This window comes from Homo sapiens, chromosome 14 (genome assembly GCF_000001405.40).
Source record: "Homo sapiens chromosome 14, GRCh38.p14 Primary Assembly".
NCBI classification, from domain to species: Eukaryota; Metazoa; Chordata; class Mammalia; order Primates; family Hominidae; genus Homo; species Homo sapiens.
Window position 1 is genome coordinate 37,062,792 of NC_000014.9, and position 19,208 is coordinate 37,081,999.

Sequence of the window (19,208 nt, forward strand, 5' to 3'; positions counted from 1 at the left end):
GGTGTAATAGAGAGGCTATCTTAGCAGAAGTGAAACATTATTTAGGCCTTGACTCTGGGTACCCTTGAACACACGGTACCTTGAACCCTGGTGTATTAGTGCATTCTCACGCTGCTATGAAGAAATACCCAAGACCGGGTAATTTATAAAGGAAAGAGTTTTAATTGACTCACCATTCCACATGGCTGGGGAGGCCTAAGGAAACTTAAAATCATGGTAGAAAGTACTTCTTCACAGGGCAGCAGGAGAGAGAATGAGTGCCCAGCAAAGGGGGAAGCCCCTTATAAAACCATCGTATCTCATGAGAACTAACTCACTATCAAGAAAACAGGATGGAGAAACCGCCCCCATGATTCAATTACCTCCACCGGGTCCCTCTCACAACACGTGGGGATTATGGGAACTACAATTCAAGATGAGATTTGGGTCCAGGTGAGGTGGCTCACACCTGTAATCCCAGCACTTTGGGAGGCCGAGATGGGTGGATCACTTGAGGTCAGGAGTTCAAGACCAGCCTGATGAACATGGTGAAACCCCGTCTCTACTAAAAATATAAAAATTAGCCAGGCCTGGTGGCTTGAGACTGTAATCTCAGCTATTCGGGAGGCTGAGGCAGGAAAATCGCTTGAACCCAGGAGGTGGAGGTTGCAGTGAGCCAGGATTTTGCCACTGCACTCCAGTCTGGGTGACAGAAGGGAGACTACGTAAATCATGTCACCTGGGTATCCTTGAGCACAGAGAAAGGCATACTAGAACAGGAAAACATTACTGCAAAAGCACAACTGAGGTGCATGTTGTGGAGGGAGGGTAAGGAGTAATAGTTACCGTGGATTTGTGAGCACTTCAGCTTGACTGGCACTTACTGGAAAGGGGAAGTCAAATGAATCAGGTTACAAGAAGCCAAATTCTGAAGTCTGGAAAGCAGGCCTCCTGGAAGAAAAATCTCTCCCCAGAGAATTTGACCCTTGATCCCTTGATTCAACAGCTAACCCAAAAGATGTTGGCCTTGCCCTAAGGAGCAGCCCATGTGTTGCTAGACTCAAAACACAAAATGATCCCACATAACAATTAGGCAGTAAACCGAAATGCAACCCAAACAAGACTTTTCCTGAAACCACCACCCCTTGTGCCATTGACTATCACGATGATGGTTAATTTTAGGTGTAAATTTGACTGGCTTAAGGAATATCTAGATAACTGGTAAAGCATTACTTTCAGGTGTGTCTGTAAGGGTGTTTCCAGGAAAGATTGATGGATGAGTCAGTGAACTGAGTGAGGAAGATTAACCCTCAATGTGAGCAGGTGCCATCTAATTAACTGGGAGCCCAGATAGAACAAAAAGACAGAGAAGACAAATTATCTCTCCCTCCCTACTGGAATTAGGACACCCTTCTTCTCCTCCCTTGGACATCAGAACTCCAGGCTCTCCAAGACTTATACCAGTGGCCCCTTGGGTTCTCAGGCCTTTGGTCTGGGACTGAGAGTCAGACCATTGGCTTCCCTGAGGCATTCAGACTTGGGCTGAGCCAACTACCCATATCCCAGGGTCTCCAGCTTGCAGTTAGCCTATCGTGGGACTTCTCAGCCTTCATAATTGCATGAGCCAGTTGATAAATTCTCTTGTCTCTCTCTCTCTCTCTCTTTTTCTACCTTCTGTTGGTCTGTCTTGGGAGAACCCTAATACAGTCACCATCTACCTACTCCAGTTGTGGAGTTGGTTCAACTCTGTATTCTATCTGGATCCTCCTTCCTAGCCTGGATCCCCAAACAACTGTGAATTGTGAATTCACAACAGTCCAAATCTGCTTCTGTTTGGATACACAAACCAGACTGTACCCCTTCAGGACTCACAGTTATTCTATCATTTTTGCTACCACCATCACCAACACCCCATTCTATGAATTAACTCATTTGTGTCTCTCAATTGGTTTACTGTACTGCTCATTCTGTCCCTTATCCTATTTCACTTCCAGGTTGACAAAAACTCTTGTCCAAAAATAATTATTAGACACCTATGAGACAGACACTGTAGTAAGCACTAGGGACATAAAGACAAGGCATGCATATTCTCAAAAGAGTATAGAACATTGGGAAGGCAGATCTGCTTTCATCCCTTCCTTTGACACACATCTGTTAAGGGCCTAATATATGCCAGCTACTCTACCAAACCCCCAGGATACAAAAGTAAATAAGACACATTACCTGCTCTTAAGGAACTTATGGTCTATTTGGAAAAGACTGACAGGAAAACAAAACAAACAAACCATACAATGAAGTGAAATACAGTATATATGTATATGCTGGGACCAACTGGAGTAGGAATAATCTATGGTACTTTGGGGAAAGGATTTGTTCAGAGAAGCCTTTATGGATGAGGTGACACTTGAGATTTGAAAGCTGAGGAGTGTGTGAGGGGTACAGAAGAACCCTGAATGCAGAGATTATACTGTGACAAAACATGGTAGCCTAGGTTATTCAGATCAGACTTCCCACTGAAAACAACAATATTGGATAAGGTACAAAAGCATCTTCTTAAAATAATAAAAAGCTGACAAGAAAGTATTTTAACCAGGCTAAAATCTAAGTGAAGCAGGAGCTCAGGGAGGTGAACCGAGCTCTGGAGATTATTTTGGCTCAAGACATCTGTCAATTGTAGACCTCTCAGGCTGAGAAGAAACCAACATCAAAGCTCAGTTCATGCAGGTGAGGAGACAAATTGAAGTGCTTCTCTATATTAAACTGTTTCCCCAAAGGGTTACACCCTCAGGGAAAGGGCAAATTAGAAGTCCTACTCCATTCCATTCCCAACACCAGGGGACTTAAGGAAATTTGTCTATTGCTGAGCAGATTAAGGAGGAATGTCCCTGAGAAGTTGTAACTAAAAGGTGGTCCTTGAGCCAATGTGCAGACTGAATTTACATCACTTAAAGAAGGGTACATTCAAACACTTCAGATATTGAATCATTAGACATATATGGTAAAACAATTATGCATACTATATTTAAAGATAGAAATAAAAAGTGGGATAAAATTTAAGAGGAAAAAAATTAACAAAATGTGCCTTAGCAGATTTGAAAGGAATTGAACACTCTTTTGAATTGAGAAATAAAACTAATTTGAAACGAATGGTTTTTACAATGATTGTAGTAAAGATTAAATTTAATCAGGCAAGGATCATCAGTGAATGCCAAATCTGAGGGAAAATTTGTATAAGGAGCGGGATATTCGTATAATCTTAAAGTGCGAACCCACAAGCTGCTTATTAGTTTCAAGAGAGGAGAGGAAAAGAAATTAGATGGTGGAGAAATCAGGTAACTTAACCGATTCATCAGAATTGGTATCCACACTTCCAGATATGACACTCGGAGAAAAATACAGTATCAAAAAGGCTGTCTTCTTGCCAAAAATGTGTAACTTGAATCTAATCATAAGGGAACATCACACAAACCCCCTATTAGGAATATTCTATTTCTAAAAGGTAAGAGTGGGGATTTTGGTCTTTCAAAAGGTAAATGCCATGAAAGACTAAATAAGGCTAAGAAAATGCTCCAGATTTAAAAAGGCTTCAAAGACATGACAACTAAATGCAATACCTGACTCTACACTGCACATGGCACTGGAGAGGAATAAAATGATATCGAGGACATCACTGAGTCAACTGAAAAAATGGATTATGTGAACAGATGAAATAAAAAGCATTGTACTAATACTTTTTAAGTGGTAAATTAAAATTTACCATGCAAAAAGTATTTACATTCATACTTGTACTGTAGCTATATGAAAATATCCTTACTCTTCAGAAATAAACACTGCAGTACTCAGGGGTTAAGGACCATGATGTATGTAATTTACAACAAATGGTTCATAAAAAAGTACACATATAAATATTTCATTTAAAAAGTATATGTGTGTATATACATGTATATATAAGTATGTATATTTACATTTAAAATTATATACACATGGAGAGAGAGAGAAGGACAGAGAACAAACAATAAAGATAAAGGCATAAAATATTGATAATAGATGTACCTGAATAATAAGTTTAGAAGTATTCTTTGTACTGTTTTACTTTTTCAACTTATCTAGAAGTTTTAAATGTTTAAAATTATTTTCAGATAAAAAGAAAACAAAAGACCTGAATGAATGGATTCAACAACAATCTAGACATAGATGAGGGAAAATACTAGCACTCTAAAAAATGGGGCAGAAGAAATTATCCAGAATACAGTACAGTGGGGAAAAAAATGTAAATACGAAAGAGAGATTAGGCTTAATGGGCTAAGGAGTAACATATATTTAACTAGAGTTCCAGAAGAAGAGAAGAAAAATAATGGGGAAGCAGGAGGGGCAAAATTTGAAGAACTAACCATTTTTTAGAACTACTAAAATATAACAATCGCAAATTTATGAATCCCAGTGAATTTTGAATAGGCAAATAAAATGAAATGAACCTGTAGTAACATCAGAGTAAAACTGCATTACTCCAAAAAATGAAGTAAAAGCAGCCAGAAGTAAAGGACAGATTATTCCTAAAGAGCATCAGTTTGACAGCTGACTTCACAAAAACAACAGCAAAAGCCAAAAGATGCTGTGAAATTATATACATAGGTATTAAATGTACTGAGAGACAATAACTGCCAACCTTGAATTCTGTACCCAGAAAATGCATCCTTATTATAAGCATGTTTTCAGACAAATAAAGAGATTTTTTTTCTATCATCGGACCCTGACAAAATGGATTCCAAAAGGATATACTACAAGCGGAAGGAAAGTGATCCCAGATGGAAAATCTGAGATGCAAGAAGTAATGACAAGCAAAAAAAGCAGTAAATATATGAGAGGACTCCATGAACAAAAGTATGGAGGCAGAAAATAGTCTAGTGTGTTCAGGGAATTGCCAGCAGCTTGGCTGTAGATTGGTGAAGCAGAGAGTTAGTCTTTCAACTCTATCAAATACAAATCCTATCAGTAAAAACTAAAATTAAGCATGTGCTCAGAATACATGTAGATTTACTTATTTATGAAAATATTATGTATATTATAAAATGTGCACAAAAATAATTTAAAAGGATAGGATTAAGAACAAAATATAAATAGAACTTCTGATATCTTCTTCCCGTATTCTAAGTGATTCTATTACAAAATTAGGAGTCAGCAAACTATGGCCTGCAGGCCAAATCTAGCCCACCATCTGTTTTGTCCTACAACAGCAAAGCTGGATAGTGGTGGCACAGATGTATAGCCCATGAAGTCTAAAATATTTACTATCTGGTTCTTTACAGGAAACGTTTGCCAACCCCCGGACTTGAACACAGGCCGCGACAGCAGAGTCAGGGTTCATAGTCACCACATTGTGGACTTGTCCATCATACCGGGAATAAGGAGCTCCGAAGGATTTTAAGCAGGAGAAAGGTCATTCTGGCAGCCACATGGTAAATGGAACAGAAGAAAGATGCCTGATGAAAGGGAAGCCAACTAGGAGATATTTTGTGACAGTGATTAAAGTGCTTTTCCTCTCTGACACCAGGTTCTCTGTCTATAAAATGGGTGTGATAATTCACACAAAGTTCTCTGTGGGTCAGAGGAAAGAGTGTCTTAACTGTGAAAGCACTATAACAATTCAAGGTATGATGATTTTTTTTGCAGTAGATTTTCATTAAATGAATGTTTTGGAAAGAGTTATATGTGTTTTGCTGTAATTTTGGTTGTATTCTTTGACATTAACACATTTTGTATAATTGCATCACATAGCTATACTGAACCCATTTAGTATCAAAATTTAATGCAATGTAATTTTGTAAATTGATTTAAATCTATTTTAGTCACTTGTCTGGAAAAACATTGCTAGATGCTAATAATTCAGTGCAAATTCTTTGCTTACTTGCTTACAAAGGGTAGTACTCAATTGAAGAATGTATTTATACAAATTGACTTATTAACACCTGATATGTACATCCCATGTAACAGGCATAAAGATCATAAAGAAATAATATGGCAGAAAAAGATCTATGAGCACAATCATATTTTCTTTCAATTCTTGAGACTCCCCAAACATTATAAGCTAAAAAAAGCAATTTTTCTCTTTAAAAAGACAACTTGGCCAGGCGCGGTGGCTCACGCCTGTAATCCCAGCACTTTGGGAGGTCGAGGCGGGCAGATAACGAGGTCAGGAGATCGAGACCATCCTGGCTAACACGGTGAAACCCCGTCTCTACTAAAAATACAAAAAAAAATTAGCCGGGCATGGTGGCAGGAGCCTGTAGTTCCAGCTACTCTGGAGGCTGACGCAGGAGAATAGCGTGAACCTGGGAGGTGGAGCTTGCAGTGAGCCGAGATCATGCCACTGCACTCCAGCCTGAGCAACAGAGTGAGACTCCATCTCAAAGAAAAAAAAAAAACTTAAGGTACTTCTCTTATTACTGTTTATGACACTGAAACATACGACCATATTAGTTGATTCTTTTTCAGATTCAGGGGTGTGGTTTTCAAGAGCACCCATCTGCACCCACCATCTCATAAGATAAATTACTGAGAGTATAACATGGTTGTGATAAATTATAGAGTATCTGTGGCAACAGTAGATTATGCCCTCATGATATTTATGTCTCTATCCTTGATGTGTGTACAAATATGTGTTTAGGAACATATGCGTAGACATCCTTTAAAAACATGCCAGCATATTGTGAAAGAAAAAATATATGATTATCATCAGAGAAGATAAAAGGTGAGAAACAGTACCACATGCATCCTAATAGAACTGCAGGCTGTTTTAATTTTAATCAGTTTCAGCCTTCTTCGTTGAAAACAGAAGTAAATCATGCAAGGAACTAATTCATACTGGGAGAGACAGCAAAGAATGCCAATAAAATTTATTTGTAAAAAAAATTACTACAAAAATATTTCTACCACATTTCCAGTTTTATTCTAAATAAAAGAATAGAGGCCCTTTTCCAGGAACATTTTAAAAGGAAATAGCTTAAAGGAAACTTTTATTTCTGCTTTTTATACAAATGGCTGGGTCTCATTTATTATGCATTAATTTGCAGACAAAACCCTGGTTCTCTGCTCAAGAAAAGGCTTGACACAAGCAACATGGTGGTCTATGAAAAAGAAGGCTATATGATCCCTAATTCTGCCTGTGTTCAACACACGCACATTACTGTTCACCCCACTGATAACAAAGATCAGATGTTCCTAGTGCACAAGTTACACTCTTTCACAGAAGCTCTCCATACCTGTGCCCTAGAATTCACAGGCAGTTATTTCATTCATGTGTCTCCTTTTGGAACCTGGGTAATTTAACGAATCCAGGATCCAGGGTTTTGTTTTGTTCTTTACATTTTGGCAACTGTATTACCATCCTAATCGGACTCTAATATATATCCTACCTATGCCCATTTACCTTCTTTGATGGGCACACCAAGAGACATATGACAGAGGAAGAGGTCTGATTTCCTTCAAGTGCTGTGGACATACTCCAAATTGTCATTGTTTCCTCAATCTGTTATCCATGAGCTTATCTAAACTTTTAGTAAACCTATTTATATTTTCAATCTGCATCACATCTTAGGATAATGCACTCCACAAGTTTCTATTCATTGTAGACCTCTTTTAAACTTCTGCAAATGCCCTAAGTCCTAGTATGCCAGGATTCAATAAATCAGAAAGCATAGTTTGTATGATATTATAAATTTTATTCACATCCCCTTTCTCAGTCTTCTTCCTTTGTCAATAGCCCCCCCTTTTGATGCTACACTCAGAAAAAATATATTTAATGATTAATTCTCCAACTTAAGCTAATTATTATTCTTTTGTTCATGTTAGTTAACTTTCTCTGTACCCTCTCACTTTAATCATGTCTTCATTGAGGGCTGCTGACCAGAATTGCACATCATGTTCCTGGTGCAGGGCATTACAAGGTAAAAAGAGAGATTGTTTATTCTAAAACAATTTCTAAGCAAGCCTGGAAGTGATTAAGATACTTGTGGAATCACCATATACACCGGAATGAAGAAGGGCTTTGGGTGAAATGGTGCTTGTCAGTGAAGATAGGGTGCAGAGGTGAGAAGCGCTCTGCCCCTGTCAGGTTCACCTCATCTTAATCCTGGGCTGCTTTGCTCACTGGACAAGCTGTCACATCAGTTTCCCCGGGGGAAGGACTCATCACACAAGGTCCTGAAATACCGAGACTTTCTTTGAAAGCAGAATTTTCAAATAACTTTGCAAGACAAACTAAAGTACAGCAGCAAAAGGGAAAGGAGAAGACACTGGGCTATTTGTCCATTTATGCTGACATGAAGCCACATTCCAAAATGATTAGCCATTTGTAAAATATCCAATAGATCGTCAAGGGCATTAATCCTCTGGAAAGCTAATTCAGAAGGTTTCTTGGCAAGTATAGAATCAAAGCAAAGATGTATACATGGTATTGATGAAAATTTTTAAAAATGTTAAATTAATCCCACTGCAGAATATAATACATCAGTGTTACTGCCAGACAACTTGTGTTCATCAGATACTATTTTTTAGAGACTGGAGCAATACTGGATAAGCACTTATTAGTTATTAAATTCCAGTTCTCTTTTTTATGCAAACTCAATGAAGACATTCCTTTTCAATGAGTTTATAGAAAAGAAGACAAATGCCTGGCTCACATGCTGCCATTTTTCAATTCCTCTACCCATTAAAACCCCTATAAACAGAAGCAGCCCTGAGCTAGAAGGTAGCTTCAGAATATTTCTTAACACTATGTTTTTGATAATCATTACAAATCAAATCTAGTTGAAAAATAAGACAAAATCTATTTGCTATATATTCAGTTAGAAAGCAATTAACTAGACTTCAACTTTCTTCAGTTATAGTCTAGATCCAGAGATACATTCTGGTTACTCAAGACAGACTAGAAAAACACCTGAATTGTATGTATAAGCATGCTTTCAAGATTCAATTTTTTAAACTACTCTGCATTTTGTCAAATCTAAGATGCAGTCATTCCTCAAATGCATCATCATTTGCATGTGCTGCTGAAGAAGAAAAATGCTACTAATTAGTTGGAAGGCCACAGTAAATGTTAAATATACCCTTATTCAGAGATGTTAAAATGTAGGCTGGGCACAGTGGCTCACGTCTATAATCCCAGCACTTTGGGAGGCTGAGGTGGGTGGATCACCTGAGGTCAGGAGTTCAAGACCAGCCTGGCCAACGTGGTGAAACCTCATCTCTATTTAAAACACAAAAATTAGCTGGGCATGGTGGCAGGCACCTGTAATCCCAGCTACTCAGGAGGCCGAAGCAAGAGAATCACTTGAACCCAGGAGGCAGACGTTGCAGTGAGCCAAGATTGCGCCACTGCACTCCAGCCTGCGTGACAGAGTGAGACTGTCTCAAAAAAAAAAAAAAAAAAAAAGTGGAGGAAATACATCTTGAAATTTGTAAAACAGCATTTCCATTCTCACTGTATTGTTCTTGAATCAATCTCAAATTCTGAGAGGACTCTGCATCCAGGGGCCATACTCTGATTTCCACAGAGCCTCAGGCTGTGCCAAAGGCAGCTTCAAATCAGTGAATGTTGGGAAACTGTATCTCTACCAGGTAGCCTCATACTCTAAAGTAGGGGATGTGCAGGGTCTTATGTGTGGGAAGGCTTCTGGTTGAGCACAAACCAAAGAGAGTCCTAAGAAGAATATTTTCAGCTGGGTGCAATGTCTCACGCCTGTAATCCCAGCACTTTGGGAGGCCAAGGCCAAGGTCAGGAGTTCGAGACCAGCCTAGCTAACATGCTGTCTCTACTAAAAACACAAAACTTAGTTGGGCGTGGTGGTGCACACCTCTAGGCCCAGCTATTCCAGAGGCTGAGACAGAATTGCTTAAACCCAGATGGCAGAGGCTGCAGTGAGCTGAGATGGCGCCACTATACTCCAGCCTGGGCGGAGCAAGACTCTGTCTCAAAAATAAAAACAAAAAAGAAAAAAAAGAAAAATATTTTCTAGAAATATCACTTAAAACAAGGAATCAGGAAACAATCTAGCAGGCTTAAAAGAACCGCTGGTTATGAAGTAGTCCTTTCAGCCACATATACATGTGTAGATAACATAGTCACCATCAGATATATCATCTTTAAATTCTAAAAATCAACAATAATAAAAGCTATACACATTTATGTGACACATAGGTCCTGGGACAACGTGTCACTCTTTATCTTGGTTCCTAGATTCATCCAGTTGAAAGGGCTAAAATATTCTATTCTGGCATATTGACTATTTAAGTTAAGAACACTTGAAAAAACAGCTAGTGCAAATAGATCACTTTGACCTTCACGCTGTTTCTCAAAAACAGAAGATGACATTTCCATGTGACAGACACTCCTCCTATCCTAAGAATGAAAAGCAACATCCTTATCTTCAATGGTGAGTAGCTGAGACCAAGAGAATATTGTATAGACCTTGTTAGAATAACTCTTAGCTTTTAATCCTTCCTTAGTCACTTTTTCACAGTTCCCTATTCTTTTTCCAATCCACTATATAAGTAACTGACTCTAACTGCTTCTTTGGGTCATCATTTCTTTCTCTTTTATTCATTATATATCTATATATGCAATTTTTTGTAGAAACAGTGTCTTGCCTTGTTGTCCAGGCTGCTCCTGTCCTGGCTTCAAGCGATCCTTCCACCTCAGCCTCCCAAAGAGCTGGGATTACAGGCATGAGCCACTACAGCCTGCCTGGGTCTTCATTCTTTATGAGGACTCCTGTGCCAAGTAAAATCTGTATTATGCTTTTCTGCTATTAATCTATTTTATGTAATTTAACTCTCAGTCCCAACTGGGACCCTAAGGGAATGGAGGTGTTTTTCTGCCTCGACCACCTCCAGCCTGCCCCTGCTACCCTGGACTTTCTCCTAGCATCGTTCCTGAAGCCAACAGGCCCTCTTGTCTTGTGTCCAGGTTAAATGCTCTGCCAGGCACTCTGGTATCAATTTAAGATCAAATGCTGACTTACCTATTTGGGCATAACCCAGGTTAGCCTCCTGCGATCCCACTGCTCCTTGATTGATCAAGGAACTTAACCATTTTCGCATATTTCTGTACTCTTTGAACATATCTATAGTGTCCAAAATGCTTTCTGCCTTTCTTCTAGATCCAAAAAAAAAAAATCATTTTGTGCATCTGAGAAAAAACATCCCTACAAAGCTCTAGAAAGAGGTCCAGAAATTCACCTTGTCAATTATATCTAGAACTAGTCTTCCTACCTCCCAGGAATGATGTTCGTCTCTGTTCAAATGGGTAAGGTAATATTTTACTTAAGAACAAAAGGAAAAAAGAAAGAGCTATTATTCCATACATACAACTTAATATAAATGAACAAGTATCTTCAATCCTTTCTTTAGCAGTCAACAATAAAGCAAATCAACTGCAGTTAAAAAAAAAAAAAACCTCTGTTTTTATACAATAGTTTGCTTCTAATGATGTGGTACTATTCTACGGTTGAAACTGATGTTTTCTATATTTCACAACATACAACTTATACCACTATTGACTGAAAATGGGGCCACTCTTCCTTGATGGAATTAGAAATCATGATCCTCACTTATGTTAGACATTCTTCATTTGCCTCTCCAAATCCGCTCTTTTCTATTCTTTCAACCTGGCTCTGTTCCCAGAAGGCTGAATTCTAAGAACTTAATCAACTGTACTTCCTTTTGCTTTCTGGCTTCCTATTGGGTTTAGCCAATGGGAAGCACCTACAAGAATTCAAAAGGCAGCCAGGCATGGTGGCTCACACCTGTAATCCCAGGACTTTGGGAGGCCAAGGTGGATGGATCACCTGAGGTCAGTAGTTCGAGACCAGCCTGGCCAACATAGTGAAACCCCGTCTCTACTAAAAATACAAAAAGTTAGCCAGGCGTAGTGGTGTGCACCTGTAATCCCAGCTACTCGAGAGGCTGAGGCAGGAGAACTGCTGGAACCCGAGAGGCAGAGCCGAGATCGCGCCACTGCACTCCAGCCTGAGTGACAGAGTGAGACTCTGTCTCAAAAAAATAAAAATAAAAATAAATGGCCAATGATTACACTCGTCACTCATTGCTTCATTTGCTGTTTCACTCATTCATTACTCTACCAAATGTGTTTAGGGCCTGGTATTGGAGAGCACAGTGCTAGGTCCTGGAAATACAAAGTTGTAGAAGCCATTGTCCCTGCCTGAAAGCATCATTGTTAATTACATGGACCCTGTGAAGTTAATATTTTGACCATAGATGAAGGTTTCCTGTGCAAATACTTCTCAAAGGAACTAGCTTCCCTTTGCAACCCAGTAAAAACTGAACTATGAAGACCACTTTGAAACCACGTGCAATGTTTTACACCAAATAATGTAGCTTTCCACCACTAATACCTCTCGACTTAACGTTTTCCTTCTTCTTTCAACATTTCCCCTTTCTTTCTCTGATTTACACTTCATGGGTGGTTCTTGGTGGTATTTTCCCTTGCTCTAGATTTTACTGGAAGCTATTTCAAATGCTTCTTGAAAGAAGCTGAAGCATAAATAACAGAAAAACAGATTGCTTTATTTTTCCCCACTTAAATTTTATCTACCTTTGAAACTTCATATTGATAGACCCAGACAATTTTTCACTTAAATTAATTTTAAAAGGTCACAATTGTATTGGTACAGTATTAAAAATAGAAACTTCCATTTATGATTAAGAAGTCAATGATACACACACCAAACTATAAACAGTGTACATAGAGTGACGGGGGAAGGAGGGACATCCACTGTGGGCACTCACTTTCCATATTATATAATCTTCAAAATTTACAAGCAATTTTACTTATGTATGCAGAAAAAAAGACACATTTAAAAGAAGTAAAATAAAGAGAAGACATCCCAGTTTATCTTTGTTTTCCCATGTCACATGGTGGTCGAATATACATGTGGATTTAAGATATATAGGGTGGTAATTTGATTATTGAGTCATATGTGACCCAGCTGAATGAATGTAATAACAGACAGATGATGGTTTATGTCGTTGATATGAACTGATTTCCCTCGTTCCATATTTTAACAGCCCGTCATTTCCAGAATTGGCTTACGCCCTGAAAATATCCTCCACAGGGATGCAGTTTTGAGCCTAGGACATTCATTAACAGCTGGAAGACAGTTGGTGCCTCCAAATGATGAGGGCCAGCGGAAGCTGTGAGGATGGGCACCTGCCCTGGAGCCAAGCCTATGCTTCCCCGAGCTAGCAAACACCTTGCTCTGGCTCTCCCCTAAGCTCTTTTACATATTAAATTTTAGAAGCAACTCTAAAAAATGACAATTCAGTTGAAACAGTCTTCATATGTAGAGGCCACATTGTAAGACTTCTTTTTTTCTTTCTTCTTCTTTTTTTTAAGACAGAGTCCAGCTCTGTTACCCAGGCTGGAGAGCAGTGGAGCAATCTCAGCTCACTGCAACCTCCACGTTCCGGGCTCAAGTGATTCTCCTGCCTCAGCCTCCCAAGTAGCTGGGATTACAGGCGTGCATCACCAGGCCCAGCGAATTTTTGTATTTTTAGTAGAGATGTAGTAGAGATGGGGGTTTCGTCATGTTGCCCAGGCTGGTCTTGAACTCCTGAGCTCAGGTGATCTGCCCACCTGACCTCCCAAAGTGCTGGTGTTTATAGGTGTGAGCCACCGCACCCAGCCTATAAGACTTTATTTTATTTTTGTTTTTGTTTTTGAGGCAGAGTCTTGCTCTGTCACCCAGGCTGGAGTGCAGTGCAGCGATCTCGGCTCACTGCAACCTCTGCCTCCCAGGTTCAAGCGATTCTCCTGCCTCAGTCTCCTAAGTAGCTGGGATTACAGGCGCCTGACAGCATGCCCGGCTAATTTTGTATTTTTAGTAGAGACGGGGTTTCACCATGTTGGCCAGGCCTCGAACTCCTGACCTCAGGTGATCTGCCCACCTCGGCCTCCCAAATTGCTGGGACTACAGGCGTGAGCCACTGCACCTGGCCCCCGTAAGACTTCTTAATGTTTAATATGAGCCTGAGTTAGAGCATGGAACATGGGGAAGGGTACAGCATGGAGAGCATTATTTTCAAATTCCTAGGCCACTCTTGTCAGAACAATTACACAGACTAATAAAGCAACGTCTCTCTATTGCAGAATAAAATAAAGTCTCCATAAAATATAAAATTAACGTAAAGTATGTGAATAATGAAATATTGGGGTTCCATGTTTATTTTCTGATGGCATAAAAAATTTGAGCTGTTTGTAACATTAAACCCCAAAGACCTAATCAAATAGATATCTGAGTAACTCAGACATTGTAAGTAATTTCAGCACTGTAGCACTGTATTTGCCAGAAGATATAGTCAATACTTGCACCACGCTGAGATATCATTTAGTCTATAACTTAAACAAGCATTGATAAAGTTTTTTACAGAAGATGCTATCAGCAAAATAAACAGAAGACTTTGTATTACTTCAAAGCTTATTTATAATGTGTTTAGAAAAAATTCAATGGAAACAGGAAAATAATGTCTTGATTTTCTAAACTTTACAACATCTGCTTTTACTTACTTTTCAACATTGTAAAGTTCTCTGGATTTTAAGTGAATTACTTTGCTTTCTCTTTGTCTATCCCTTTACTTGACTACCTTCACACTAGATTATACACGCGGACACAACCTATGACTACATGAAAATCCGTATGTTATGTATAACAATTGAATTTTAGAACACGTGACATAGAACATGGAAAGACACCTCAAAAGAAAGGTAAGGTAGATAAGGAGCAGACCCCTCTATAAAAATACTCAAAACATTGTATCATTCTATTTCATACTACCCTACACTGGGTAATTTACATGTCATTAGCAATCTTAGATGGGTAGTTGTAAAAATATTTCCTAAAGAAAAAGACTTTTACATATGTGTGTATACATGAGTATGTTTGCGTGCTTTGTCGAAATTCACATGAGAATATTAATATAATGGTCAGTAAATCCCTATAATATACAGTTTTTGGTTAAGGTTTTAACCAAAAACAAAATAAAACAAAAGGCACTAAAATCTGCTGGTAACAATATCCTTAATGTTAATCCACTCTGTGGGGCTTTTGCTTTCCTTCTTTCCAAATCAAAAGGACTTAAATCTATAGACATTTTAAAAATTTTTTTAAAATTTTTAAACGAAAGACATTTCTCTATGCTCAGTGAGAGTTACATTTCCTAATTTCTTAAAATTTGAGATTTAAGTTAATTTTACATAAACTAGAGACAGTGGATTTAAAAAAAGAAAGATGACATATTGCTCGTCATTCAAACACAATTTTATCCAGGACTTTCTTGAAAATCTTGTTGAGATGCTTTAAACATTTGTTGGTGGCTTCTTATGAAGCTGGTTTAAAGCCTGTGGTTATTTGTGGTTAATACACAAGAGGAAAAAAAGAAAAATATAGAGAAAATGGCCTTTAAGGCACACACTCCTGAGGTTTCACTGCTGGGTTAGCTGACATTCTTTCCTTCACTTCCCTAGTTGAGCTGACCTCAAAGTTCTTGGTGTCCAAGACTTCCAAAAGAATGCAAACCACATTATCTTCCCCACAGGGGAAAACAGAAAAAAACTTGGATGATACGTCAGGATAAGGAATAGGTCCACCACATGGTGGACCTATTTAAGAAGGAAGGAGAGTTCCACTGCAATCACACCGAAAATCAAGGTTTTGTGGACATGGATTTGTCCACATAAAAAAGAAGAGTGGTTTTGCCATTCAGTCAAAGGCCCTTAATAAGCAGTTAAAAAAAGAGCAAGTTGGGAGCCATTATTCTTAGTTTCTGCCACACACCTGTGAAATCAGATGCAAGACAGAATATAAAGATCCCTATCTCCAAAGGATTTGAAAAATGGAAAGATACTGGAAGGCAGTGGTATAAACGGGAAAAGAAACAAGGGCCTTCTCTCCATCATCAAATGTTGGCAACACTGCCTTTATGGTTGCTTTGATTATGCGTTATGTTCATAAAGTTTTAGCTAAGGATAATTTGTTGCTTTGGCTTTCCATTATTTTCCTTTTTTTTTTTTCTCTTTGCATGTTTTAAAATGGTTTGCATTCGAGAATCAATTTAACCACAACAGAACAGACTATGGTTTGGGATTTGTATGACTTCACTTGAGGTAAAAGTAAGCTAGAAATCAGTTCTAGGAAAGAAAGGAAAACCCCAGGCTCACAAGCATTTCTCTTTTCCTTAAAAAACTTTTTAAAGATGTTTTCATCTAATAGTTTCTTTAAATCATCACTTCAAAATGTAAATGTTTTAAATGTCAGTGCTCCACTGAGGGCCCCATCATAGGCCCTCTGTTGTTTTCATTCTATATACTTGCAGAACTTTAATTCACATCCACGTACAACTGGTCACCCTCACATTTTTGTCGTCAGCCCAGATCTGTGGACCTTTGGACCCACTTTTCTAACTGCCTAGTGAAGAACAGCCTACCTGGTATCCCACACACCCTCCAATGCATCATGTTCAGAACTGAACTCATTTCCTTCTTCCCTACCTCTCACCCCCACCCCCAAGGTTTTCCCTAATGCTCCTTGTCTTTGGTGTCTACCCATGTAGCTCAAATCACTAATCCAGGGATTTCTTTGACTCCTCTGTCTCATTTTATAAATAACCAAGTTCTGTCAATCTGCCTCCTCATTATCACTTTAACCTTGCTCCTATCCAATCCATGTTTCCTCCACACAACCCTTGGAGTTACCGGAGTGATCATCATAAAACACAAATCTGAACATGATGCTCCAGGTTAAAACTCTTCAGTAATTTCTCATTATCTTTATAATCCAGTCTAAATACCTTAACATGCCCTGAAAGACTCTTACTATCTAGCCTGTGCCTCCTGCTCAGACCAAAGATTTCGCTTGCTCTTCCAGTCACACTGAGCATCTTTCAGTTCCTGGAACCTGACAAACATTCAGTTGGAACATGCCATTATCACTGCCTATCCCCAATCCAAATGTCACTTTCTTAGTGCCATGGTCTGAAGGTTTGTGTCCCCGCCAAATTCACAGGCTGAAACCTAATCACTAAGGTAATGTGTTAGGATGTGGGGCTTGTGGTAGGGGATTAGCTCACAAGGGTGGAGCCTCATGAATGGAAAGAGTGCCCTTATAGAAGAGGCCCCAGGGAGTTGTTTTGCCCCTTCTACCCTATGAAGACCCAGCTAGAAGCTGCCATCTATTAGCCAGAAAGAAGGTCCATACCAGACACCAAAACTGTCAGTGATCTTGGACTTCCCAGCGTACAGAACTGAGAAGTACCTTTCTATTGTTTATAAACTACCCAGTTTATGGTATTTTGTTACAGCAGCCCAAACAGACTAAACTCGAGATATCTTTCTTTACTCTAAGTAAGATCAAGGCCCTGGCAATGCTCAAAGAAACCCTAACTTCTACTGTAGCATTCATCATATACTGTTGTAATTGTGCTCAGTGTCCCTGAGGGCACAGACTACTTTTGTCTTATTAACCACTCACGGCCAAGAGCGGTGCCTCATGCCAGTAATCCCAGAATTTAGGGAGGCTGAAGCTGGCAGATTGCTTGACCTCAGGAATTCAAGACCAGCCTAAGCAATATGGTAAGACCCTGTCTCTACAAAAAGTACAAAAAAACCATTTTAGCTGAGCATGGTGGTGTGCACCTGTGTTCCCTGCTACTCAGGAGGCTGAGGTGGGAGGATCGCCTGAGCCCAGGAGGTCGAGACTGCAGTGAGCCATGATCGTGCCACTGCACTTCCGCCTGGGTGACAGAGCAAGACCCTGCCTCAAAAACAAACAAACAAGAAAAAAACTACTACTTAGTACTTGGTAGGTATTTAATGAATACTAATTGAACAAATGAATGAATTTATTTGTATATGTCTTCTTTCACTAGGATGATAGGGCACATGATCAGCTGTATACTTATAAGTGACTGGCTCATTCAACACAGAGGCAATATGAGATTCCAGATAGAATTAAGATTCAGCATGCTCCATAATCAAGATATCTCATAGAATTTATGCCATCATTTGCCCTAAATTCTTCCCAGATAACAGGACGGTGGCAGGGTCAACTTCCAGGCCCAAATATACAATTGTCTTTGGCTAATCCAAAAGTTGTAGGTAGAATGAATAAATAAATTGTTAAATGGTTATCGACTACCTCTATCTATTCTCCTTAATCCTGTCACCTAGTTTGGAGAGAGGCAGGGGGATAGTCAAGATGCTATTAATCTGGAGAAATATTCTACCCATCCCCTGAATCTAATTTTAAGGGTAGTTACTACCAATGACATTATAAGACCCTGATCATGATCCCTGTAAAGTGTTTTTGTGAACTCTTCTCAACTTTATTTGGGAACGTGAGAAAAGCCGTAGGTTAATACAGGCATTACAATGTTACCTAAGTTAGAACACTTTTTAAATGGCCTAATCATCTCTAACACTTGGGTACATCTCCCCTAATGTTAGATGTAATATCAGATGTAACCTCTTGAGAGAGTTGTAATTGAGAAGATGTGTTGTTAGTGACACGTCACGGAAAATGACTCAACTGTGGCAAAGGTGAGTCTCAAGACATGATGCAAACAAAAGGCATGCCACCTACAGTGGCCTCACCTCATGACCAGCACTCAATACACTTACAGTGATTTGCTTCTTGTTTCTGTCTATCAGAATGTGGTTGTCTCCAAATGGTCCCTGTCTCCCAAGACTGTTGTATCAAACAGGAATTTCTGATTGGTTAATTTATAACTAAGGCCCACAAACAAAGAGGGAAATACTACATTATTAAGCCCAAAACCATTATTGGCTTAACAGTTTTGTTGCTTTATATTGCTTAGAGTGATAAGATATAGTAACAATTAGGAATTAAAATATTTGGATATTCTCTTTTATTGTGCACTTCAACTACCGAAGCTTCAAATCCTAGCATAGGAATTATACAGTAAGATGCTGCAATAAAGACAAAACTATGGAAAGAATTAAATCAACTCTGAATAAACATAAAAAGGCTCAGCGAGAATTGTTATATTCAATTACCACACCAGAATCTCTTCAGTACCTAAGTTGTCTTAGTAACAAGCTAGGAAACTATAATAAATGTAGCAAATCTTCCACATTGATAGAAAACTGTATAACCATATATAATAGTGATCACCTATAGAAGTACCCTTTCCAAAGATAG

The 19,208-nt window shown here is 39.0% G+C and overlaps 1 protein-coding gene across 3 annotated transcripts in view, besides 1 other annotated feature; it reads right to left on the reverse strand.

Moving 5' to 3' along the window:
- The window catches only part of SLC25A21 (solute carrier family 25 member 21), a 494,686-nt gene that overhangs the window by 384,871 nt on the left and 90,607 nt on the right, over window positions 1-19,208 (reverse strand). The gene's annotated exons all lie outside the window — the stretch shown is intronic.
- Window positions 17,527-18,726: an enhancer, noted in NCBI's record as "BRD4-independent group 4 enhancer chr14:37549523-37550722 (GRCh37/hg19 assembly coordinates)". NCBI's record gives its function as "activates an origin of replication core promoter dependent on BRD2, P300/CBP, MED14 and CDK7 cofactors, and independent of BRD4, by STARR-seq in HCT116 cells {active_cell/tissue: HCT116}" and the evidence as "EXISTENCE:reporter gene assay evidence [ECO:0000049][PMID:35650434]".